Here is a 24951-nt window from a genome sequence, read left to right as displayed (position 1 = left end):
ACCTCTGGGCTCGTTCCTAAATCCTGACTGCTTCCTGGTAGAACACCCACCCTCTCTGCTTCCCAGGCTTCTGGTGGGGTTTAAATGAGATACTAGATTCCCCATGGGAGGGGATGTCTTCACTGCCGGGCCCTCGTGCCTAGACCAAACGCACAGTAGGTGTGCAGTATCTATTTTGAGTGAACGAATGAATGATGTAGGTGGTACTGCTTTGCAAGTTCTAGCAATGCATCAGAGCTCACGGATTAAATGTAAGAGCAGAGAGGCTTACTGGTGTGTGGGGCGGGGGTGTGGGGATGTGACGGGGAACCCCCTGTCTCCTAGCTGCGTGCCCTAAGGCAAGTTACTTTGCCTCTTAGAACCTGCTTACCTTGCCGGATCATTGGAGGATTTAAATCAGACTATCTGTGCCATGATCCTTACACATAGTGAGTGCCTAGCACTTACACGCTAGCCATTATTGTTATCATTATATATGCTCTAACTGGGACTGGGCCGCAAAAGGCATTGAGTGCCAGGAGCCATTTGGACTTTGATATTTGGTAAGTGGGGAGCTATTGAAAGTTCTTGAGCACAGAAGTAGGGCTTTAGGGCATAAGATATGGAGTGGAGTACAGAAGTGATCAGGATCAGAGGGCAGGTGGTTGGGGGTGGGGAGGAGGGACTGGAAATGGCCTTGACCTCTGGGAGCCTGGTCCTCCCACAGGATGGGGAGATGGGTGTTAGCCTACAAAGCACTGCAGGAGGTGGGGAAGATGCTCTGGGCTGGGCAGTTCTCAGCGATTGTTTATTGAGCACTTACTTTGTGCTGGGCGTCAGGCTGATGCCTCTTCTGTCTCACTTGGGCTGTGGCCAGCCTCCAGGCAGATGGGGATGGGACCAGTGTGTTCAGATCAAGCGCAGTCTTTGAATGTGAGCTGGCAGAGGTTCTTGCCACACCCCTCCCCCAGGGCCTCTCCAAGCTGCTCTCTCCTTGTCACCCCTCCTGCTGTCCTGCTGGGTGTGACCTCGATCTGCGGCATGTGCGTGGGCTGAGTTTCTGGAGGGCTCTGGGAAGTGCAGAGAAGCCAGACACCATCTGACTTCCAGGTCCAAAAAGGGTGGGGACACTTAGGGGTTTCCCCTGGGGCTTCTCCAGGTGCCTCTCAGCCTGGGAGGGGACCTGACTGCCAGGCCCAGCTCTGTTCCTACTCACTGTGGCTCCTGGTGGCTCTCTCATCCCAGACCCTTGGAGAAGCTCTAAAATGACAGGTCAGACAACATTTGGGGTTCTCAAGCTTGTACCCCAGACACCTGCTAGGGAATGGGGGTGAGGGGGACTTTGGTGGTGATGGGAAGACAGAGCAGGTGGCCCCTTGCTCAGTTTCAACCATGTGCTTTGATTCTGCGTTCCATATTTCATTTATAAGAAGGGCTCTGCCGCTAGGTAAATAAAATAAAACCCCCCAACAATGAAAGCTAAAGCCCCCATTAAAGGTGACCTCCAGGTCTCTTCCATCCTAATATCGTATCTCCCACCTCCCAGGGAAGATGAGCCGGTAAGGCCAAAAAGGACGTGGCTGTATGGGAGGGTGGGGGGCACCGGTGTGGTTGGGGAGACTTGGGTGCTGCAGCAGGAAGATCAAGCTGGAATGGTAGGAAGAAGGGACGAGGGCCTGGGGGGTGAGGGGGGTGGTGCCTGCTACTGGAGGCCACCTCCCTCCCCTGGCAAGAGGCCAGGGGAAATGCCCCATCCCCGGACCCTGGGCACCAAGACCCTCCCAGGGAGACCCTTGGGGTTATGCCCACCATGCCTCCAGCTGGCTGCAGGCTGCTTGGGTGCCATGTGTAGCGATTTTGAGGCTGTGCTTGGAGGAGCTCAGGTACTCGCTTGCCAAGGTGCCTGAAATCCCTCCAGCAGCACCCCTTCCTCCTGTCAAGGCCCAGGTGCCCACGCACAGTCTGCAGGCAGGGAGGCTATTGGGTTGCCCATTCAGAGGGAGGTGGGGCCGTTAGTTTCTTATAAATTGACCCATCAGATGCGCTGGACTCCAGAGAGTGTTGCCATTGACACTGGGAAGTTTGGGGGAGGTTGGTGAGAGGGTGAAGGGGAGCTGGGGAACCCCTGTCTGAGACAGGCAGACCAGGGGCACCTACATATGTGGGAGGGTACCAGCCATCACAGACAGTGCCTAGCGCAGGCCTATCTCTGCCATGGACTGCCGGTAGGGCCTCAGTTTCCCTATCTGGAAATCAAGCAGCTGACCCCAACAGTGTCACCAGTCTTTTCAGGGCTGACATTCCAGATTTCTAAAAGCCCAGAAGTCTAAGATACGGTTATTTGTTCCGAGCCTCCCAGGCGCCAAGCTCTGGGCAGATTTCTGGGGCACCCTGGGGGTCACGAGACCACACCTGCCTTCTCCCTGCCTATCCTTGAGCACAGCCAGGAGTCGCGGTGCCAGAAACGGTGGTCCCTGCAGATGCCAGTCTAGTCTTCCTGCCAGGGACGCTAGGGGTCACAGATGATTCTGTAGCAGGGTGGAGGGGTCTGGGGAGGGAGCATGGGACTCGAGCCAGCCGTCATCATCAAACTGTAAGCTCCAGAAGTCTGGGGAACCTCCTGGCCTCTCTCACCCGAGGAGCTAGCCTGGTCCTTGGAGGGCCTTCAGTCTGTCCTCTGGGGCTGGGGAGACACAGAATTCTCCCCACAGACACACAGTGGTCTCTGGTAGGAGACCCGGACCCAGAACCCAGATGTCCAGACTCCCGTCCACCCTCCCCCAGCAGCCGCCTGCCGCCCTCCCTGCCACTCCCCTCCCAGACCCCAGCCCAGCCTTGCCACCTTTCTGTTCTGCCAGGGTGTACGGCTGCAGCCGCCAGGAGCCCGTGGTGGAGGTTCTGGCGTCGGGGGCCATCATGGCGGTCGTCTGGAAGAAGGGCCTGCACAGCTACTACGACCCCTTCGTGCTCTCCGTGCAGCCGGTGGTCTTCCAGGGTGAGAGGTCAGGGGTCCCTGGGGCAGGGGAGGGGTGGTGGTAGAATCCAAGGGCCCTCCACTGGGCTCACTGCTCACCTTTTTTGCCCAAATTGAGGATGGGATGGGGAGAGGGAAGATTCTGGAAGCTCCTGCTGCTCTCCACTCCCCACCCCGGCCCCCCTCTTCCTTCCGTCGTTTGCACTTCCACCCCCCTCTTCCCCTTGACCGTCCTACCATTCGCAGTCTCTGTCTTCCTGGCATCGCTCCCTTGCTTCCCTCCTCTTTCTCTGTCCTTCCTTCTCTCTCCTTTTCTCTTTTCTGTGCTGACCGCCTCTCCTCCCTCCTCACTCGCCTGGACCTGTGTCCCCTCCCCTCTGCCCCTCACCCCCTCCCTGCCCTCTCCCCTTGGCACCCACCGGTGGCTGGGCCTGGAACACGGGTCTGTTTGCAGCAGGACTAAGAACTCCTTGGATTCCGCCCTAGACAGTCCGCTTACAGCCAAGAGGGCGCAGGGAGCTTGGGGAGGTGTGATGGCAGCACAGCCAGGCCATGGCCACTGGTGTGGCAGGTCTCCCACTGCCTTCCCAGCCCCCACCCTCCTCCTGCTTCGGGACCTCCCTCCTTGCCCCCTTCCCAGGAAGGGCACGTCCCACCCCGCATGGGACAGCTGTCCTGGGCCTGGACCAGCCATACTTCTGCGCAGGAGGCCCAAACTTTGCCATTTCTGGAGCTCAGGAGGGGAGGATGGCAGAGAGGAGGCCATAGAGTGTTGGCAGCTGCTTCTGCCTCACCTCTCTCCCCACTCTTCTCCCTCCCACTCAGGGTCCCAGCCCTCTTCTCGGTTTATCCCCAAACTGTCTGGCATAGACCTGGGTCCCCAGCTGGCCAAACTGGAGCGCTAAATGGGTAGCAGAGCTGTTCCCTTGGGAGTCTGACACAGGCTCGAGGCGGGAGGGAACAAAGGGCTTTGGGGGCCCTGGCCCAATGGAGAGATGGCCAGGGCAGGTGAGCATGCTCCTGTCCTGACCCCTGGACCCCTCAGCCTCTCACGGTGTAGCCTCAACCAAGCCACTCCTTTTCTCCGAACCTCATCTTGGAAAAGGGGAACAGCTCTCTCTCCCCCAGCCACCACCGTGAGGCCTGTGCAGGTGTGAATGCATTTTGTAAACTGGCGAGTGCTGTCCCGCAAATATCAATAACTAACACGGATCGAGCACTTACTACATGCCAGGCTGTTTGAATGTTTATGTCTTTTTAATCCACTCTACTACCCTATGAGGTGTGTGCTATTACTGTCCTCATTTTACAGATGAGGAAACTGAGACCCAGATTCACACAATCACATTCAACCACAGCAATTTGCTGGCAGAGGTGGTAGGGGTGGTGGGGTTACAAGCTGCGCCAGCCTGCTGGGAGGTGCAGCCAGGGGACCCCTGTGTAACAGCTGCTCTCCTGGTCCAGCCTGTGAAGTGAACCTGACGCTGGACAACAGGCTCGACTCCCAGGGCGTCCTCAGCACCCCGTACTTCCCCAGCTACTACTCGCCCCAAACCCACTGCTCCTGGCACCTCACGGTGAGACCCCACCCTGCCTGCCCACCTGCCCTCTGCCGCAAGCACACTACAGGTCCCTGGTGACCCGGGATGAGAGGGGGCAGTGTCCCGCCTCTGCTGAAGCGCCCACAGGCTGAGCCCTGGGTACACATCCTGCCAGGGTGGAGAGGGCTGTGGGCGAGGTCTCCCTCTGTGGGTCACAGCAATGCCTGTTTGTTGAGTGACTGACAGACTTTAGCCCCACCTGGGATTCTGTGTTTCCTTCTCTTTGTTGTTAGGGAGGTGGGTTCACCAACCTGGCCACACCCCATGGGCCACCTGATGGCCCGCTCCTCCCTCCCAGGTGCCCTCTCTGGACTACGGCTTGGCCCTCTGGTTTGATGCCTATGCACTGAGGAGGCAGAAGTATGATTTGCCGTGCACCCAGGGCCAGTGGACGATCCAGAACAGGAGGTACCACTTCCTCTCCTCCCTCTGGCTTCCTTTCCTCCCTCCCCCTCCCTCTCTTCCCTCCTCAATAGTGACCCCCTCATTGGAAGCCCAAGTCCCCAATCTCAGAGGGGCAGCAAGGGGAGCGAGCAGAGGCTGGGGCTGGTGTCAGGCCTGTTGCCCTTGACCTTGTCCTCGTCCCAGCCTCCGCCCTGGCCCCGGCTTCCCCTCTGGCTACCCCAGAGGTCTCAGACACGTTTGGTCATCAGACACCTTGGATGTTTATTCTAATTACAGCAAAATTGTCTCATCTTCTTGGGTGCTGTAACCCCCTCTGGCACCCTCAATCCTTCAATAAAATGTTTCCAGAGCCAAAGGACTCATGGGCACTTTGGTGCCTTCCCTCTAAACCCAAGGCGTACCATCAGAGGTGCCTCTCCCTTATCACGAACCCCTGCTGCACAGCCAGGCCCAATCCCATTGCACAGGGTAACATGGAAATCATGGGTGCCCTGGATCCCCCGAATCCCCAACGGGGCACTTGCCCTCTTCCCTGCTCTTGCCCTTGCTCCCTCTGGTAACTAAGTTTCCGACAAAGAAGTGAGTCCTTACAGAGATGTGAGCAAGAGACAGTGGGGTTAGGCTAAGCGACTACCGTTGCCAGGGTCACTATGGCATGAGGCCAGTAGGTGCCCACTGGGCCTGGCCACCAGGAAGCCATGGGTGGTGCCGACAGCTTCAGAGGCCTGGGCTGGGCAAGGAGGCAGGGAAACAGAGACAGGGTGTATGGACAGGTTTTCATTTGTCTGGGAAGAAAAGAGAACTAGGAAATTCAAGGAAGGGGACATTTAAGACGGGAGAGGTTCCATATCTCAAATGTGTGGATCATCCCAGCATCCCCAGAGGGAGAGAAGGAGGCTCAGGTGCAGGTAATATTGTTTAGAGTGGGGAGGGTGGGCAAGGGGAGAGGGAGGCCCTCCCATGGCTCCATTGTTGGGGAGCAGAGGTTTGGGGAGAGAGAAGAGGAATATTGAAGCAGCGATGGCAGAGCCAGGGAGACCCTTTCCCTGGGAATCCGGGGTGAAAACGGTCATCGTGTCAGCGTCAGGAAAGAGGAGACTCTATCCTTCATCGCAGGTTGGGCCTCTGCCCTCCCTTCCAACCTCGGAATTCTGGGGGCCTAATGGGTTCAGAGTCTAGTATGAAAGATTTGTCATTTCTTGATTTCACAGAGTTTGAATATCTAAGATGCCAGTCTTGGAAGATGCCAAAATTGGAAGGCTCTGGGGCTCTAGAATTCTTGGATTTCTGGGGTGTGTGTTCCCAATCACCAACACTTGTAATTTGCTTGTTGGCTGATCCTATTCAAAAGGATCATCCAGACAAAAGGTGACGAAGAATGACAAGGTTTGCTTGACTCCTTTTTGCAATTTATCTGGGACTAGGATTAAAAGAAAGGAGAAGAAATACTCATGGCATGATCTAGGGCTATGCTGTTGGGGGTAACATGGGGAGTGACTTTGGGCCTGTGCTGTTGGGGGTGATATGGCGAAGCAGTGCCTTCAGGGCTTTGCATTTGGTGGTGATATGCTGATGGAGTGTGACATCAGGCCTGTGCTGCTGGGGTGACATGCTGGTTCAGTGATGTCAGGCCTGTGCTGTCTGGAGAGCAGAAGGCTTCTGTAGCATGATGGGGGCACCTCTGGGAACGGCTGCCCTGACCCCTCATGGAGCTCACTTGAAGCCTCCTTGCTACTCACCTAGGCTGGGGATGGCTGGCTTCACCCCCGCTCACAGGAACCCGCAGGGTGACCCTGAGATGGATCCATGATTCACAGTTCTGCGAATGATGAGAACATGTTTTCCTGCCTCCCTCCCTACCGCAGAGCTGAACTTTATGTCTCAGGGAGGCCCACAAAGGAGAAGGAACAGTCTTGGGTCTGACACTCCCTGTCTCATCCCTCACCCCCTTGGCGACTCCATTTGCCAGAGGCGGGGCCCCAGCATTCAGGGGTTGTGGGGGGTTCGGTGGCCTGGAGTTAGGTGCTAAGACAGGCGTTCAGTGCATTGGCCCAACAACTTGTGTGGTCATTGGCGCCGTTCCTGTTTCCCAGAGAAGGAAATCAAGGCTCAGCAGGATTAGGTGGCACGCAGATGGGTCCACAGATGGGGTCTCTCCCATACCCCCAACAGCCACAAACAGCAGGCCAAAGGATGCTCCACCCCATGCTTCCTGTGGGAAGGCCCTCCTCCCTCCCTGATGCAGTTGGGCAAGGGTCTGGGTACTGGGGAGACAGGGACTTCGTGAGCTACCCTTGGGTAATGACAGAGAGAGTGTGGAACACGGATGGGAGAGTCTTTTCCCTAATCCAAAGGAATGATGCCTTGATGGTGAATTTGAGGCACTAGGACAGCTTCCAACAGGGTGGAGGGATCTCGCCAGAGTCTGAGCACCACTGAGCTATAGAATGTGTGGGCTGAACTGGTCCTAGCACCCAACCTATGGTACAGGTGGGGAAACTGGGACCAGCGAGGGCTAAGGACTTGGCCTCTTGTCCCTGTCTTTTCTGCCTTTCAGTGGTGGAGATGGGCTTCAGGGTGTAGCCAAGCGGTGGCTGGGTGGTGAGGATGAGGCCTGACAGCTCCCTGTGCCCCCATAGCTCCCCCTCTCTCTGTTCAGTCCTCCCTCGCCACACGGGGGTGGAAGTGCTCAGCAGGGGCTGGCATCAGGGTTTGCATGGATCCCTAGATGCACCCCCTTCCTTGTCTGTGAAACGAGGGGTTCAGGCCAGCCCAGGGCCCCAATCTTTGATTGCTTACCCATCAGGAAGCTATTGTCTCCCATACAAGTTGTGTTTATTAATTCCTGGCCAAACGCCATTCCAAGTCAGGCTGGTGAGGTGGAAAGCGCTTAAGTGTCGAAGCCAGACAGGCCAGGGCTCAGCACCTGTCTCCTCTGCTTCCTACCTGGGCGAGGACTTACATCTCCCAACCTCAGGTAACTCATCTGAAAAAAGGGCGTGAAAGAGACCCCCACCCTGGGAAGACTAAGTGAGACAACGCGTGGAGAACATTGCACACGCGGGCTTAGGTCAAGTGCAACAAACCTGCGTTCATCACCGGCTCTCACTCTGCTCTGGGCAGGCACAAGCTGAGGGGTTTATGGTGCTGGCTCTTTCAGCCTCAACAACCCAGCGAGGAAGCAGGTGCCTGTACTGCCTTCACAGACCAGTGAGACACCCAAGACACAGAGAGATGAAGTAATTTGCACAAAGTCACCCAGCTCTTTGAGCCAGAGTTAAGGCCAGGCAGCCTGATCTGGAGTGCACGTGGGTGCACAGATGCATGTCTGTGTGCGTGCGTACATCCATGCATGTCTGTGCACGTGTACGTGCATGTGTGTGTGGTCCACGTGTGCGATTCTTCCCTCTGAGCCTCTAGCGGCCCATGCCAGCTGGTGACTCCCTCAGCCAAGGCATCCCCAGCCAACCCACTGGCATCTGGGTGGGGGGATCGACAGTTTCTGTGGCTGTCCCACCAGTTCCAGAGCGGCCTGGGAAGTCCCAGCCCTTTCTTCTCAGACTTTCATTAAGGGTCCAGGGTCCCCAGGGGCAGACTCTTGTCCCCTCCCCGCAGACTCCTCCTGTGTGAATGAATGTGGAAGGGAAGGCAGAGGTGGCGCCTGCAAACCATCCGCACTGGGCCACTGTGCCCTCTAGTTATGATCATGGGCGATAGTGATCATCCCATGTAGATGCTGAGAAATTCTTAGAATGAGCATTTGTTGGAAATCTGCTTGTGTGGGTGGCAAAGACATGAGAGGTCTAGGGAAGAGCAGATTTTCAGACAAGGCACTTTAGGGAGGGGGAGGTACAGCCCTTTGGCCCAGAATGCCCATTGATGGAGAGGGCGGGTCAGGGGAGAGGGTATCTTAACCCTCAAGTGCCAGCGTAGTGATGAGGAAAGGCTGGCCTGGTGGGCCCCCCATGGACTAAGCATCCTTAGGCACTTCACCTGACTCCTCTGAGACTGTGGTGCCTCCTTCACCCCTGACCTGCCTGCTTTCTACCTAGCTTCTCCCGGTGCCCACTTGAGCCCAGCTGAGGCCTCAGGCCCTTGAGTGGCCTGGGGGTGGTAGAGGGACTTGGCCCGTGAGATCTGGCCATGGCTGCTCCATTTCGCAGAAGCCACTCTCACGGGCTGCCACCGAAGCACGGGCTTCCCCCTTTCCGGGAACCTGCCTCCTGCCAGCTTCCTCTCCTGTGACATCACTTCTCTTGTGATTCGCCCCACCATTTCCACTCACTCCCAGCCAGTGGGGACAGGCAGAACCATGGGTTCCCTAGGCCAGCTGGAGCCACCCCCGACCCGGCCTGGCCTGGCTATGGGGTGGCCCTTGTGTTCTCCGGAGCGCTAGTGGCCAGCACAGGCGGCAGCCACAGACACTTAGTAGGAACTTCAGTGTGGCTGACCTGAGCTGGGCTGGCCGTGCAGGAGAGTGCAAGCTGCTTCCTCCATGAGCTCACAGCCTGACGTCAGCAAGTGCTTCAAAGAAGTCATTTCCTATGCATGCCTTAAACCATGCCACAAGGGAGATACGATCACCCCTGTTTTACAAATGTGAAAACTAAAGCTTGCTGAGGGTGACCCAAGGTCACACAGCTTGTTCCTGGGGCAAAGCCAGGCTGCCAATTCAGCTCTGCAGCCCCAGGTCTAGAGCTCTGGCAATGCCAGGTGCTGCTCTCCTCCCCTCTTCAGCACTTGCCTTCTGTGACCCTCCTTCCCCTTTAATCTGTCTGTAGGTAAGGGCACGGGGGTGTGCATTCATCCACCCACGCACCCTTCTTTCCTTCTTCCTTCTTGTGTTCTCCCCACCCTTCCATCCATCCATCCATCCATCCATGCATCTATCCCTCCAGGCAGTACATCCTGACAGGGTCCCTGTCTACCTCCTGGATGAGGCAAGAAGGAAATATTCCCCATATCCAGAGAGGTGAGGAAGCAAGGCAGGCCACACGGTGCAAAAATGTGCCTTCAGACACTCAGTACTTTGTAGCCAAGATGAACTGGCAGGCATCGCAGCAGTCAGGCTTCTGGTGCTTCTTGGAGAGGGCTAGAGGGGAGCACTTGTTGGACGGGAGGCACTGGAGAGCCAGAGAATGTGCACCCTCCCCCAGAGAGTTCTGCAGCAGAAACAGAAAACTCAGATGGGCCAAGGGGCCAGGCCAGGGCTAGAGTCTATGATGGGGGGTAGGGTAGTCCAGTGGTGTTTTCGGGGCTTTTCTTTCTTTCTCTCTTTCTCTTTCTTTCTTTCTTTCTTTCTTTCTTTCTTTCTTTCTTTCTTTTTCTTTCTTTCTTTCTCTTTTTCTCCTTCTCCTTCTCCTTCTTCCTCTTCTTTCTCTTTCTTCTTTCTTCTTCCTTATTCTCCTTTTCCCTTCTTCTCCCTTCCTCTTCTCCTTCTTCTCCTTCTCTTCCTTCTCCTCCTCCTCTTTCTTCTTCTTCTCCTTCTCCTCTTCCTCCTCCTCCTTCTTCTTCTCCTCCTCCTTCTCCTCATTCTCTTTCTCCTTTCTTCCTCTTCATCTTTTCTTCTTCTTCTCCTCCGCCTCCTCCTTCCTCTTCCTCTTCCTCTTCCTCTTCTCCTTCTAAAGGAGCAGGAATCTGGATTATTATGTGAAATTAGCTCGCGACTCAATGAAGCAATTTCTACATGGTGCATAAACAGATTGTCTTTACGCTGAGTGACTCCGCTTGGGCCACTAGATTTCAGCCGCTGCCTTGAATTCCTCTCTGGCGCTTTCTAAGCAGACGCTTGTTCCAGGGATTCCACCACCTCTACCCGTGCTCCAGGCCTCCAGAGTGAGAACCAAACACTGCCCAGACAGACAGGTTCCCGGGTACACGGTGAGGCCCTGGGGAAAGGTTGCTGCCAGCTACAGACTGGTTCTAGGACTCTCCCTGGAGGTTGAGAGAACTTCCTGTAGCAGGCACAGGTGTCTTTGCCTTACAGCCCCTGCCCAAGGCTTGGGTGACACTACAGGTCCTCAACGCAGTTGCTTCTAGGGTGAAACGTTCCACTCCCCTCCAACCCCGGCTTGGGTTCCTTCTCTGTCTCCCCACAATCTCCCTGTGACTGTGGGAAGGGACACCCCAAGGCCCATGGGATGCGCTTGACTCCTCATTCCCCGCACTAGTCCTTCCCAACCCCTGGCTCCCCTGTCTACTTCCTGAGGTCCTTCTGTGAGGAAAACAATCCATGATAACTTTATAGACAAACAGACACCAAAACCTGCGTTTCCTGGGTTTTACAAGAGCAAGAGGGCCAGGCTTGCTCAGGGGCGCCCCCTGGCGGTGCCTCGTCCCCCACCGGCCCTGCTGGGCTGGGGGAACCATGGTCGGGGGTGGCGGCTCCCAACCTGTTCTGCCTCAGGACCCAGTCACTCTCCGCAAAATGACTGAGTACCCTAAAGAGTTTTTGCTTATACAGGTTATAGATCTATACTTGCAGCATTAGAAATTGAAACAAAATTTTAAAATGTTTATTAATTCTTTTAATATAATTATAAGCCCATTACACATTTGAATATAAATAACATTCTATGAAAATTAGTTGCATCCTCCAAAAGTAAAAACATTTAGTGACAAGAGTGCTGTCATTTTACATTTTTGTACATTTCTTTAACAACTGGCTTCACAGACTACAGGCGGGACCTTCGAATCTGCCTCCGAGTTCAATCAGTCCCGATGTCACACATCAGTCTCTGGAAAACTCGCCTGTCACCTTATGAGAGAATGAGGGCAAAAAAGGCAAATGATATCTGAGTGTTACTATAAACATGACTTTTGGACCCCCAGGGGTCCCCTGACTGTGCTTTGAGAACTGCTGGTTGGTGTAAGGGTAAGATCGTGGTCACTGTGGCCAGATAGACTTAGGGGGGTGCCAGAGTCTAGGCCAGGCGTGTGGAGGACATGGGGCATGTAGGGGGCTCAGACCTCAGAGCTCCTGTTGCAGTGGGAATTCGGAGCCCTCCCCTCAAGCAAGCTAGGTGAGCTCTTCTGGGTCCTGAGGCAAGATTCTGGCTCCACCTTGGCTCCTGCACTCTTGAGCCTCATCTGTAAAATGGGATGAGAGCAATTCCTCCCTCCCTGGGTGGAGGTGCTGCTTGAACCTCAGAATCCCCGTGCAATGAGGCCTTGTGATGCCATAGCCAATGAGGCTCAGCCCCAGCCACACACCTGGAGATGTTAAAACAGCCTCAAAGCTCATCTTCAGCTGTTCGGTGGCTAAGGAATTGATTAACTTATTGAACGGTTAAGTGCTTACCACATTCTAGAAGTTCTGGGGAAGTGCCTGGCCCTTGGGAATCATGGCCGGCTCCGCAGGGTGTTGGATTTGCTGTGGGATGTCCCCACTGGCCTTCAGGGGCATTCCTGATGCTCTCTGGATTTCCATCTGCTTTCTCTGCCAGGGGCATTTTCAGCTCTCCCTGCAGATTTTCAACCTGCACCCTGAGTGTGTTTCCCCCATCTGCAAAGCACTCTGATTTGCTCTGTGGAGGGCATTTCTATGAGCTGATGAAGCTGTCCCCATCTGTTCTGCAAGGGTGTCCCACCTGGGATGAAAAGGAACCCCCGGCTGCTGTGGAGGGAGGGTCCCACTGTCCTGGGGGAGTGGCTGCACCCACTCTGTGAAGTCATGCCGCTGCCCACTTGCTCTGTGGGGTGAGGTGCACCGGACTCTCTGCAGGAGGAACCCCTGGGCCCATGCCCTGGAGATGGGAGGGCTCCTACCTGTTCTCTGGTAGGAGAGAAAGACTCAGCCTCTCTGGAGATTCCCCCACCTGCTCTGTTTGAACAACGGTATCTTCTTGGTGGTGGTATGGCAGGGGTGCAGGGGCGGTGTTGTCCAGCAGGGATGTGAGGGTGCTCCCACAGCTGGGGGTGGTCCCACCCCGTGTGGCCATGCACAGAGAAGGTGCTGCCCATCAGCACTAAGCTACTGGTCATGGGAGAAGGACTGGTCCTTCCCTCAAGCCCACAGTGTCACAGGGAGGCAGGAGGGTTGGTGCCTAAATGGGGAGCACTGCTGCCCCCTCGTCCCACACCAAGCTCAAGGCAGATGACCGTGCACATCTGTGGACAGTGGGGCAGTCAAGGGCTTTTGCCTCAACTGACACATTGAAGCCTTTTGTCAGATTCAAGATCAACAGAAATAATTTTTCCTTTCTTTCTTTCTCTTTCTTTCTTTTCTTTTCTTTTTTCTTTCCCTCCCTCTCTCCCTTTCTTTCTTTCTCTTTCTCTTTCTTCTTTCTTTCTTTCTTCCTTTCTTTCTCTTTCTTTCTTTCTTTTTCCCTCCCTCCCTTCCTTCCTTCTTTCCCTCCCTCCTTCCTTCCTACCTTCTGTCTCTTTCTTTCTTTTTTTGACGTACTTTCGTTCTTATTGCCCAGGCTGGAGTGCAATGGCACGATCTCGGCTCACCGCAACCTCTGCTTCCTGGGTTCAAGCGATTCTCCTGCTTCAGCCTCCCGAGTAGCTGGGATTACAAGCATGTGCCACCATGCCTGGCTAATTTTGTATTTTTAGTAGCAACGGGGTTTCTCCATGTTGGTCAGTCTGGTCTCGAACTCCCGACTTCAGGTGATCCACCCACCTCAGCCTCCCAAAGTGCTGGGATTATAGGTGTGAGCCACTGCGCCCAGCCAATTTTTCTTGTTTTATAAGGGAGGAAGGTGAGGCTCAAAGAAGGACCCTGACTTGCTAGAACCTCACAGTTCACAGGTGACTGTGACTAGAATTGAGTTTTTTATCTGGCAGGCAATGGGGAGCCATTGAAGATTTTTGAGCAGGGCAGTGGCATAGCCAGGCTAGTTTCTAGAAGATGACTCTGGGGGTGCACTCATCTAAGGGAGAAATCAGGGCAGAGGAGGCACAGCGGGCGTGCAGCTCCCCCTGCCCCTCTGGCTGCCTGTCCTTGCTCTGTCTGTGCACGGGACCCAGGAGACCAGCCAGTGCAGCCCTGAGTCGTCTCTGACTCCCCCCAGGCTGTGTGGCTTGCGCATCCTGCAGCCCTACGCCGAGAGGATCCCCGTGGTGGCCACGGCCGGGATCACCATCAACTTCACCTCCCAGATCTCCCTCACCGGGCCCGGTGTGCGGGTGCACTATGGCTTGTACAACCAGTCGGACCGTGAGTATGGGCAGCCGGGGGAACCCCCTGCAGTGACTCGCTGCCTCTTGGCCATCCCTGGAACCACCAAGGGGGCTGTGGGCAGCTGCTTATGAGGCTGAACAAAAGGAGAGAGAGAGTGTGTGTGTGTGTGTATGTGCTTGCACAAATTTATGCAGCTTTGTGTGCCCACGTGTGCAAGGCAGCCACAAGGGTTTGCAGGAATACACACTCATACATATCCACGTGTGTGTTGTGTATTCTGTGTGTGTGTCTGGATATGTATGTCTGCTTGGACTGTGTACACAGGTGCCCAGGACCACGTCTGTGGGTGCCTGTCCATGCGCGTGTGAGTGAACAGGTGCATGCGTGTCTTTGTGCGCCTTCGCGGCTACGCATGGCCTAATGGCGCCCTGCCTGCCTCCACGGTCCCCTGTGGTTTTGCAGCCTGCCCTGGAGAGTTCCTCTGTTCTGTGAATGGACTCTGTGTCCCTGCCTGTGATGGGGTCAAGGACTGCCCCAACGGCCTGGATGAGAGAAACTGCGGTGAGTAACCCGCCCGCGCATCCCTCCTCTCCCTGCCCATCCCTTCTCCTTCCTCACCTTTCCTGCTCTGAGCTGAGTGGAGACCCCACTTCTACATGCAGCTTCCATTATGAGCACCCAGGAAGTGGGGTTCTCTCACTGTGCCGGGGTGGCAAAATGAGACAGACCAGCAATGCAGCCTCCCCGAGACCACCTCGTGGGACAGTGGCAGGGAGAAGTGGGGAGCCAGGTCTCCTGACTTCCAGCTCAGGGCCATCACCCCCAGCCCCTGTCCCAGCCAGCCTTCCAGGAAGGAACAGAATGGGTGAGGGAGATGTCCCCCTCCTCTGCCCTGTCAAAGGTTTAAATATGTGGGAAGAGGGAAGCGAGATGTTCATGGTGGGGGGATGATCCTGCCACGGTGCTGGGGGAGGTACCTCATATTCAGAAACTGAACATCTGGCTTCAAGTTCTGGCTCAGCCAAGTGACCTTGGACAAGTCACCTCATCTGTTTCCACCAGTGAAATGGGGTATCTCACAGGGTTGCTGTGAAACTTTGGGTGTAAAATAGCAGAGAAAGAGGCCGGGCGCAGTGGCTCATGCCTGTAATCCTAGCACTTTGGGAGGCGGAGTCGAGCGGATCACCTGAGGTCAGGAGTTCAAGATCAGCCTGGCCAACATGGTGAAACCCCGTCTCTACTAAAAATACAATAATTAGCTGGGCGTGGTAGCAGGAGCCTGTAATTAATCTCAGCTACTCGGGAGTCTGAGGCAGGAGAATCGCTTGGACCTGGGAGGTTGCAGTGAGATCATGCCATCGCACTCCAGCCTTCGTGACAAGAGCGAGACATAAAAATAAAGTAGCAGAGAAAGAGATTTGTGATTGGTAACGTGCAATACAGCACACCTTCTACAGGCATCGCCAAGCCCCGGCTGGCTCCTCTGGCTTCCTCCCACCTGTCCCCTCTCTGTGTCCCCACACAGTTTGCAGAGCCACATTCCAGTGCAAAGAGGACAGCACATGCATCTCACTGCCCAAGGTCTGTGATGGGCAGCCTGATTGTCTCAACGGCAGCGACGAAGAGCAGTGCCAGGAAGGTAGGGCAGGCCTAGCCGAGTGTCTGGAGGGACACCAAAGGCAGTCTAGGCCTGCTACATGCTTCAGCAAAAGTTTCTAGCTTCTCCTCTCAACACCCACCAACCCCTCTGTATTTACATCTGTATGTCTGTCCATTCATCCATCCATCCATCCATCCATCCATCCATCCATCCATCCATCCATCTTCTGGTCTCCAATCACCGTCTGTCCATTGATTCATACAGCTACCCATTTATCTATGCATCTACTGACCTGTGCAACCATCAATCTCCCTATCATCAAACTGTCAATCTACCCATTTATTGGTTTGGCTGACTACTGGTCTATATGGCCACTGTTCCATCCATCCATCCATCCATCCATCCATCCACCCACCCATCTACCCACCCACCCATCCACCCATCCATCATCCATCCGTCCATCATCCATCCATCCATCATCCGTCTATCCATCCATCCATCCATCCATCATCCATCCATCCACCCATCGTCCATCCGTCCATCATCCATCCATCCATCCATCATCCATCCATCATCCATCTATCCATCCATCATCCTTCCACCCATCCGTCATCCACCCATCGATCATCCATCTGTCCATCATCCATCCATACATCATCCATCTATCCATCCATCCATTCATCCATCCATCATCCATGCATCATCCATCCATCATCCATCCATCCATCCATCATCCGTCTATCCATCCATCCATCATCCATCCATCCATCCATCATCCATCCGTCCATCATCCATCCATCCATCATCCATCTATCCATCCATCCATCCGTCCATCATCCATCCATCCATCATCCATCCATCATCCATCCGTCCATCACCCATCCATCCATCATCCATCCATCCATCATCCATCCATCCATCATCCATCCGTCCATCATCCATCCATCCATCGTCCATCATCCATCCATCCATCCATCATCCATCCATCCATCATCCATCCATCCATCCATCATCCATCCATTCATCCATCATCCATCCATTCATCCATCATCCATCTGTCCATCGTCTATCCATCCATCATCCATCATCCATCCATCCATCCATCCATCCATCCATCATCCATCCATCCATCATCCATCAATCCATCAATCCATCATCCATCCATCCATCATCCATCGATCCATCATCCATCCATCCATGCACCCATCCATCATCCATCCATCCATCCATCATCCATCCATTCATCCATCATCCATCCATCCATCATCCATCCATCCATCATCCATCCATCCATGCAACCATCCATCATCCATCCATCCATCATCCATCCATCCATCATCCATCCATCCATCCATCATCCATCCATCCATTCATCCATCATCCATCCATCCATCATCCGTTCATCCATCATCCATCCATTCACCCATCATCCATCCATCCATCATCCATCCATCATCCGTCCATCCATCATCTGTCCATCATCCATCCATCCATCATCCATCCAACCATCCATCATCCATCCATCCACCATCCATCCATTCATCCGTCAGCCATCCATCCATCCATGCACCCATCCATCATCCATCCATCCATCCATCCATCATCCATCCATCATCCATCCATCATCCACCCATCCATCATCCATCCATCCATCTACCCATCCATCCACCCATCCATCCACCCATCCACTGATCTCCCTAGCCCCCTGTCTGTCCACTGGTCCTTATATCCACACGTTTATCCAACCTTCTAGCTGTCTGTCAGTCTCCCTAATGGACCACCACTCCACCCATTGGCTTGTCTGCTCAGTCTTCTGTCTGGGTCTATTTATCCATCCATCCATCTACCCATCCAACTGACCAACTGACCAACACTTGCAGGCTACCCAGCGATAGGCAAGGTGCAGTAAGGAAGTGAGAATAAAACAGCAGAGATGCAGGCCCTGCCTTCCAAGGCTCATCTGTTAGTAGGAGGATATGATGGGTGACTCTCCTGCCTTGTAGGAAGATTGGAGGGCAGGGAGGAGGTCAGACATGAAAAGCTTCCTGGAGGAGGTAGGTGTTTGGCCCTTGGTGAGAGCTAAAACTTAAATAGGCAGGAGGAAAGGAGAGAGGCAAAGACCAAGTGGTGGAGTGGAAAGTTCTTTACAGTGAAGAGCAGGGAGGAAAATGTGGACAACCGGGCAGGGCCAGAGCCTGGGAGATTGCCAGGCTAGGTGCGGACCCTGGTCTAAAAGTGGAGGCACAGTTCTGCCTTCAAGTTCCACACTGGAGGGGGAGGCATGATCTTGTGGTCAGGATCTCCAGTCTGAGAATGGAGACACCACTTTGTGCTCAATAGGCCAGTCTGAGTGGAGGGGCTGTGGGGGGCGGGGGGACATGGCCTGCTTTTAGGAGACCCTAAAGGAGACTCAGGAAAAGACTCTCTAGTCACCTCCTGGCTCTTCTGGCTCCATCGTTCCTGCACCCCACTTTGGAAGGTTTCCTTGGGGCTCAGAGACCCACCTTCTGTGCCCTGCCCCCATCCCCTCTGTCCCAGGGGTGCCATGTGGGACATTCACCTTCCAGTGTGAGGACCGGAGCTGCGTGAAGAAGCCCAACCCGCAGTGTGATGGGCGGCCCGACTGCAGGGACGGCTCGGATGAGGAGCACTGTGGTGAGCCCTGCCTGGCTGCCGGGGCCCTGGAGCTTGGGAGGGAGGGGGTGCCCACAGCAGGAAGCTGGAGGGAAATCTCACTGTTGTCCCCTGGTCTCTCTCTATCTCATCCTCTGCCCCCTTGCCTGGGTCCTGATGGTCTCTCCCCCTCCATCATTCTCCTGTTCTCTGTCTCTCCATCTCTTTCCTTTGCCCTTCCTCTCTGTCTGCTTCTCCCCTTCCCCTCCTCCTCTGTCCACCCCACCACCTGCCCCCATCCCCAGACTGTGGCCTCCAGGGCCCCTCCAGCCGCATTGTTGGTGGAGCTGTGTCCTCCGAGGGTGAGTGGCCATGGCAGGCCAGCCTCCAGGTTCGGGGTCGACACATCTGTGGGGGGGCCCTCATCGCTGACCGCTGGGTGATAACAGCTGCCCACTGCTTCCAGGAGGACAGGTGAGCGGGAGGGTGTGGGGGCCTAGGCAGTAAGAGACAAGGGCAGGGAAGGCCCGGTGGGAGGTGCACTGTGTCTGAGCTCTTTGCAGATAGAGGGAAGGGTGGTGGACCCCCCAGACAGGCTACTGTGATGTGAGTTCTAGTCCTGGCTCCACCAGGACCTTCTGGGTCCCCGGACACATTGTTCCACCTCTCTGCCATCTACTTTTGGTATCTTGCTTTAAGTTGGGCCAGTAATTCATTCATTCATCTCATTCACTCATTCAGCAACACTTGTGCTCCTACTATGTGCCAGGGCTGTGCTAGATGCTGGGGATTCAGTAAAGGACAGAACTGCCCAACCTGGTCATAAGCTATGACACTCCCCGAGGTGTGACACGAGGTAGCAGGTGGGGCTGGGGAGCCCCCAGGGGACATCTCATCAGGCCTCATGGCCATCTTTCCCATCTGCTTGGTGGGCTGAAACCTCCCCCAATCCACCCCCAGACAGATCTGGGCTCCAGATCCCGCCCCCAGGCCCTGCACAGGGATCCCCTTTTGTATCCTCTCTGGGACGCAGGGCGCTCTGACCACCTAGCTCTCTTTAACCCCATCTCAGGCTCCCCACTGCCCTCAGGTAGAGGGTAGAGACCCGAAGGCTGCCCATCTGCCACCCAGGCAGCTGACTGCCGCAGTCCAATTCCTCCACGCTCAACTCCCACCCGCTCCCCACTAGGACCCACCAGCCTCAGGGAATTCAGAGCAGCCTGGGTCTGTAAAGCACACAGGAAAAAAGAAATCTGTGTCGGGGGCCTGGCACTGTGCTACATTTTTTAGATACACGGTCTTATTGGATTCTCTCAAGAACATTCGAGTAGAAAATGCCATTCCCATTTGCAGATGAGGTGGCAGAGGCTTAGAGAGGCACACCCATGTCTAGGGAGGGATGAAGCTGGGGCGTGGAACCCAGGCAGGCCGAGTGGGTGAAGGCTGAACGCTGTACCACCAGCTAGGCGACCTTCAGGGAGGGAAGGGAGGGCTGGGTGTGGAGGGCACTGTCCCGGGCGGGGATCTGGCTATCTTGAGGGTCCCTGGATGGGGAGAGGCAGCTTCCTCCCACCTCACCTCACCCCACCCCACCCCACCCCACCCCACCCCAGCATGGCCTCCACGGTGCTGTGGACCGTGTTCCTGGGCAAGGTGTGGCAGAACTCGCGCTGGCCTGGAGAGGTGTCCTTCAAGGTGAGCCGCCTGCTCCTGCACCCGTACCACGAAGAGGACAGCCATGACTACGACGTGGCGCTGCTGCAGCTCGACCACCCGGTGGTGCGCTCGGCCGCCGTGCGCCCCGTCTGCCTGCCCGCGCGCTCCCACTTCTTCGAGCCCGGCCTGCACTGCTGGATTACGGGCTGGGGCGCCTTGCGCGAGGGCGGTGAGCAGCGGGGACTTGCGGCGGGAGGCGGAGGGAGACCGTGCGGATCTGCGCCGTAACACCTGGCCTGGAGAAGGGCGGGGCTGGGGGTCCCGGGGCTCCACCCCATAGGCCCTCTAGTGCTGGGATTCAAATTGGGCTGAATTTTACGGTAGAAAACCACCATTTAATGCGGCCTGTAGGCCCCTGCCCCTCCCCTCCTAGCTCTTCCCTTCCTTCTGGAAGGGCGTTATGTGTGGGGCAAAGGGGCAGGTCTGGGACGCCACTGCCCACGTGCAAGCTCCACCTGCTGTTCCTTGGGCTGCAAGGGTGGAAGGCTCTTAATTACTAGCACTTTCCACATCCAGGCTGGATTTTAGGGGAACTTGACTTCATATAATCCACCCAACAGCCCTACGGGCGGATGCTGTGGCCCTATTTTATGGATGGAGAAACCAAGGCTCAGAGACATGTTGCTGTAAGTCACACAGCCAGAGAGGACTGGAGCAAAGATTAGAACCCAGGGCTGGCTGCCTCCAGAGCCCCTGCTCTTCCTGCTACTGCTCTCAGAAACAGGGTCTCTCCCCTTTCTACGTTCACTGACCAGAGTCCCTGGCGGCCACCGCACAGTTTTGGGGACACAGACCCAGCTGGCAAACCTACAGACATGCCCTGCAGCGTTAGTGTTGGTGGCTTCAAAAATGTGTACAGTGACTTACAATCTGGAAGCAGGCGGGGCCGCAGAGATATTTTAAGGATGGGGAAACTGAGGCTCAGAGGAACAGTGACTTACCCAAGGGGATGGCAGTGGTCATGGCAAAGCAAAGGCTGGTTCATTCACTATTCCTTCACTCATTCAGTCACTCAATGACACTTTCTGAGCACCAAGTACGTACCAGGCGTGGGGTTAGGGGAAGGGTACATAAGGATGAAGAGAGAACATTCTCGGGGGAGACAGACAGTGGTAAGAGCTGACATGGATGGGGAGATGCAGGAACAGTGGAGACACAGAGGAGGCTCCTGCCCAGCTAGGGTCAGGGGAGGCTTCCAGGGGAGGGTTGTTTAAGCTGAGGCCTGGAAGATGAGTTGGCAACATTCAGACAAAGGGGAAAGACATTCAGGTGAAGACACAGGTGCCAAGACAGGAAGATGTGAGAACATCCGCAGCCTGCCAGAGGGGCTGAGGTGGGGGGCAGGCGTGCCTGGGCGAGGAGCAACCAGAATGGCAGACAGGGCCTTGGGCGAGGAGCAACCAGAATGGCAGACAGGGCCTTGCCGGCCAGCATAAGGATCTTAGGCCAGGAGTTCTCCCTCCTACCTGCACCTTAGAACCATACGGGGAGTTTCAAGAAAAACTGCGTATCAAGGCTCCCCGGGGGACTGTGATATGCAGCCCTCGTGGAGAAGCGCTAGGGCAGACTGCAGAGTTGGGGCACTGCAGAGTTCTAAGGAAACCATGAAGGGATCAGATGTGGGCTTCGGAGACATCTGCAGGTGCTGTAACAGAGCAGCGAGGAGCCAGCCAGAGCCCAGAGGTGCCTCAGCAGACAGAGGTGGGGGACAAGAAGCTGGAGGAAGACACTCATCCACACGGGCTTTTTTCTTTTTTCTTTTTTTTGTTTTTTTGAGACAGAGTTTCGCTCTTGTTGCCCAGGCTGGAGTGCAATGGCGCGATCTCGGCTCGGATCCCCCTCCTCCCGGGTTCAAGCGGTTCTCCTGCCTCAGCCTCCTGAGTAACTGGGATTACAGGCATGTGCCACCACACCCAGCTAATTTTGTATTTTTAGTACAGACAGGGTTTCTCCATGTTGGTCAAGCTGGTCTCAAACTCTTGACCTCAGGTGTTCCGTCCGCCTCAGCCTCCCAAAGTGCTGGGATTACAGGCATGAGCCACCGTGCCCGGCCCTCCACATGGGCTTTGGTCGGGGGCTGTCACCATGAACCCCACAGAGAAAGAGCTAGAATAAAGTGACAGGGAGGCAGAGGGGCAGGTGCGACCCTAGCAGGGGTAAGGGTGGGCAGAGCAGGAGAGAAGTAGGCTCCTGAGATGCAAAGGGAATAATGTTAGGGAGAATAGAGAACAGGGGCTCCAGGCTCCTGAGATCTCACTTCTGCCCTTGACCACGGACAGGCCCCATCAGCAACGCTCTGCAGAAAGTGGATGTGCAGTTGATCCCACAGGACCTGTGCAGCGAGGTCTATCGCTACCAGGTGACGCCACGCATGCTGTGTGCCGGCTACCGCAAGGGCAAGAAGGATGCCTGTCAGGTGAGTCCCCCGGGCATGGGAGGGAGAGAGGAGGGAGAAAGGATGCTGCCCACATCACCAGGGTCTGGCCCTTTGCTCACATCAGCCTGCTGAAGCCTCCCATCCTCCCAGCAAGGTGGTGATGGCCACCCCTACTTTACAGAAGAGGAGACTGGGGCTTAGAAAGGTTGAGGAGCTTGCCCAAGGTTGCAGAGCCACAGATCAGAAGAGATGCTGTGATGGGCAGGTGTTAGGCTCAAACCCAGTTCTGCTCCTTGCCCACCACAAGGCACTAGGCCCAGGGTCCCACAGTGAGGTGGATGCATGGAAGAAGAAAGGGGTGTCAGCCACAGAAGGGAGGCGGAGGCAGAGTGGGGGCGTGGGGACACAGCCACAGTTCCAGGAGGTCCCAGGCTGGCTGGAGGCCGGGGAGGGCTGGCTTGGGCTCTCTCCATTTAGCAGGCGAGGGGAAAGCAGAGCTTTAAGACTGAACGTGACTCTGGCACCCAGTCAATTCCCAACAGTCAGGACTTAATCCCTATGGCTCTTCACCTGGAAAAGGGGGTGCCCTTACCCTGCTTCAGTCCTTTCTCCTTTCCCCCTTTCAGGGTGACTCAGGTGGTCCGCTGGTGTGCAAGGCACTCAGTGGCCGCTGGTTCCTGGCGGGGCTGGTCAGCTGGGGCCTGGGCTGTGGCCGGCCTAACTACTTCGGCGTCTACACCCGCATCACAGGTGTGATCAGCTGGATCCAGCAAGTGGTGACCTGAGGAACTGCCCCCCTGCAAAGCAGGGCCCACCTCCTGGACTCAGAGAGCCCAGGGCAACTGCCAAGCAGGGGGACAAGTATTCTGGCGGGGGGTGGGGGAGAGAGCAGGCCCTGTGGTGGCAGGAGGTGGCATCTTGTCTCGTCCCTGATGTCTGCTCCAGTGATGGCAGGAGGATGGAGAAGTGCCAGCAGCTGGGGGTCAAGACGTCCCCTGAGGACCCAGGCCCACACCCAGCCCTTCTGCCTCCCAATTCTCTCTCCTCCGTCCCCTTCCTCCACTGCTGCCTAATGCAAGGCAGTGGCTCAGCAGCAAGAATGCTGGTTCTACATCCCGAGGAGTGTCTGAGGTGCGCCCCACTCTGTACAGAGGCTGTTTGGGCAGCCTTGCCTCCAGAGAGCAGATTCCAGCTTCGGAAGCCCCTGGTCTAACTTGGGATCTGGGAATGGAAGGTGCTCCCATCGGAGGGGACCCTCAGAGCCCTGGAGACTGCCAGGTGGGCCTGCTGCCACTGTAAGCCAAAAGGTGGGGAAGTCCTGACTCCAGGGTCCTTGCCCCACCCCTGCCTGCCACCTGGGCCCTCACAGCCCAGACCCTCACTGGGAGGTGAGCTCAGCTGCCCTTTGGAATAAAGCTGCCTGATCCAAGCCCCGCTGCTGGAGTTTGAATGGGACCCAGGCACCAGCCTCATGCCCTTGACTGGAGCAGCCCCTGCTTCCTGCTCAGCCTGTTTGACAAGTGTCCAGAAGGCCAAGGTGGGCTCAGTGGCAGTGGGCGTGGCCACTGAGGGCTGGGGCCTGCAGGGCAGCTGCCCAGGTCCCAGAAGAAATGCCAGGAAGGCAATCATTTGGGGACCCTCAGGTCAGAGGGATGTGAGGAGCAATCGTCTCCTTTTGGAACCTTAGGAGGAAACTGAGGCTCAGAGAGGCGGTTAAGACATCCTCATAGTGGCACTGGGGGTTAGGAGTGGAGGTGGCATAGACTCCTGTCTCCCAGCTCCCTGTCTGCCAAGGCCCCGTCCAGTGCGACACTCCCTTCCTTTGCATTCTTTGAGCCACTGAATAAAGCCTTGGGCTCCAACCATGTGCCAGCACTATGCTGGGGCCACAGGGGTGAAGGACCTGGCTCCTGACCCCAGGAGCAGTGGGGATGATCCAGTGGGAAGGGGCCGGAGGGGAGCGTGGACTGGGCAAGTCAAGGCAAGCTGCCTGGAGGCTGTGAGACTTGAGCTGGGGTTCAGAGGTGGTCCAGGTGGGAATATCCGGGAAGGATATTCCAGGCAGGGAAGAGCACGTGCAAAGGCACAGTCCCGGAAGAATGAGGCACGCTAGGACCCAGCAAGCCGAGTGAGTGTTAGAACAGAGCTCGAGAGGATGACTCAAGAATTCAGAGGGGCGAACTGAGGCGGGATAGCAGAGCCTGGGGTTGAGCCAAGGATTTGATCTTGAAAGCTCTGGGGAGCCACGGTGGGCTCTATAGCATAGGAGTGACATGAGAGGATTCACATTTTGGAACCAGCCTTGGCACCAGTGTGCAGGGAGCGGCAGGCAGGGAGGCTGGTTAGGAGGCCACCGCAGGATTCCAGGATGGAGAGGATGGGCCGGGACTGAGCAGCGCCATGGGATGGACTGGAGGATGATTTTAGACCCCTGGGGGCAGTTGTGATGGAGGCAGGGGGCTCGCTGGAGGTGAGGGTGGACGGTCAAGTGTGGACAACTCTTTCTAGACGCCTAACTGGGAGCGGAAGGGAGAGAGGGAGCTTCAGAGGGGCCCCAGA

At 55.9% G+C, this 24951-nt stretch overlaps 1 protein-coding gene and 1 long non-coding RNA gene across 10 annotated transcripts in view, besides 4 other annotated features; one reads left to right on the top strand and one right to left on the bottom strand.

The window, feature by feature from the left end:
• Positions 1 to 23821, top strand: part of TMPRSS6 (transmembrane serine protease 6) — a 45101-nt gene extending 21280 nt beyond the window's left edge. For 5 of the 9 annotated variants that reach the window (XM_047441170.1, NM_001374504.1, XM_047441171.1 and 2 more), the window contains 11 exons: positions 2838 to 2974; positions 4418 to 4530; positions 4853 to 4962; positions 13977 to 14122; positions 14549 to 14647; positions 15612 to 15725; positions 18225 to 18341; positions 18605 to 18773; positions 19913 to 20184; positions 22295 to 22431; positions 23019 to 23821. In XM_047441170.1, the coding sequence (XP_047297126.1) occupies positions 2838 to 2974; positions 4418 to 4530; positions 4853 to 4962; positions 13977 to 14122; positions 14549 to 14647; positions 15612 to 15725; positions 18225 to 18341; positions 18605 to 18773; positions 19913 to 20184; positions 22295 to 22431; positions 23019 to 23177 (1573 nt within the window). In that variant the 3' untranslated portion in view covers positions 23178 to 23821. Of the gene's footprint in view, positions 1 to 2837; positions 2975 to 4417; positions 4531 to 4852; positions 4963 to 13976; positions 14123 to 14548; positions 14648 to 15611; positions 15726 to 18224; positions 18342 to 18604; positions 18774 to 19912; positions 20185 to 20575; positions 20642 to 22294; positions 22432 to 23018 lie in introns of all 9 variants that reach the window. The other 4 variants (XM_024452167.2, XM_011529989.3, NM_001289000.2 and 1 more) reach the window with 1 other exon arrangement.
• Positions 158 to 1357: an enhancer, noted in NCBI's record as "CDK7 strongly-dependent group 2 enhancer chr22:37483940-37485139 (GRCh37/hg19 assembly coordinates)". NCBI's record gives its function as "activates an origin of replication core promoter dependent on BRD2, BRD4, P300/CBP, MED14 and CDK7 cofactors, with strong dependence on CDK7, by STARR-seq in HCT116 cells {active_cell/tissue: HCT116}" and the evidence as "EXISTENCE:reporter gene assay evidence [ECO:0000049][PMID:35650434]".
• Positions 7896 to 8876: an enhancer, noted in NCBI's record as "H3K4me1 hESC enhancer chr22:37476421-37477401 (GRCh37/hg19 assembly coordinates)". NCBI's record gives its function as "activates a minimal SCP1, AML or CMV promoter by ChIP-STARR-seq in naive H9 embryonic stem cells {active_cell/tissue: H9 hESC(naive)}" and the evidence as "EXISTENCE:reporter gene assay evidence [ECO:0000049][PMID:30033119]".
• Positions 10987 to 11488: an enhancer, noted in NCBI's record as "H3K4me1 hESC enhancer chr22:37473809-37474310 (GRCh37/hg19 assembly coordinates)". NCBI's record gives its function as "activates a minimal SCP1, AML or CMV promoter by ChIP-STARR-seq in primed H9 embryonic stem cells {active_cell/tissue: H9 hESC(primed)}" and the evidence as "EXISTENCE:reporter gene assay evidence [ECO:0000049][PMID:30033119]".
• Positions 11260 to 11399: a silencer, noted in NCBI's record as "silent region_13679". NCBI's record gives its function as "represses an Ori minimal core promoter by ATAC-STARR-seq in GM12878 lymphoblastoid cells {active_cell/tissue: GM12878}" and the evidence as "EXISTENCE:reporter gene assay evidence [ECO:0000049][PMID:35858748]".
• LOC124905113 (uncharacterized) lies at positions 11453 to 12169 on the bottom strand. The gene is made up of 2 exons (XR_007068092.1): positions 11929 to 12169; positions 11453 to 11716 (listed from the first exon to the last, which is right to left on the bottom strand). It is a non-coding gene; the product is annotated as an uncharacterized LOC124905113 (long non-coding RNA).

Source organism: Homo sapiens, chromosome 22, assembly GCF_000001405.40.
Source record: "Homo sapiens chromosome 22, GRCh38.p14 Primary Assembly".
Taxonomy (NCBI): domain Eukaryota; kingdom Metazoa; phylum Chordata; class Mammalia; order Primates; family Hominidae; genus Homo; species Homo sapiens.
The sequence above is the reverse complement of the archived record's forward strand: the minus strand, read 5'-3'. Positions and strand labels throughout refer to the sequence as shown.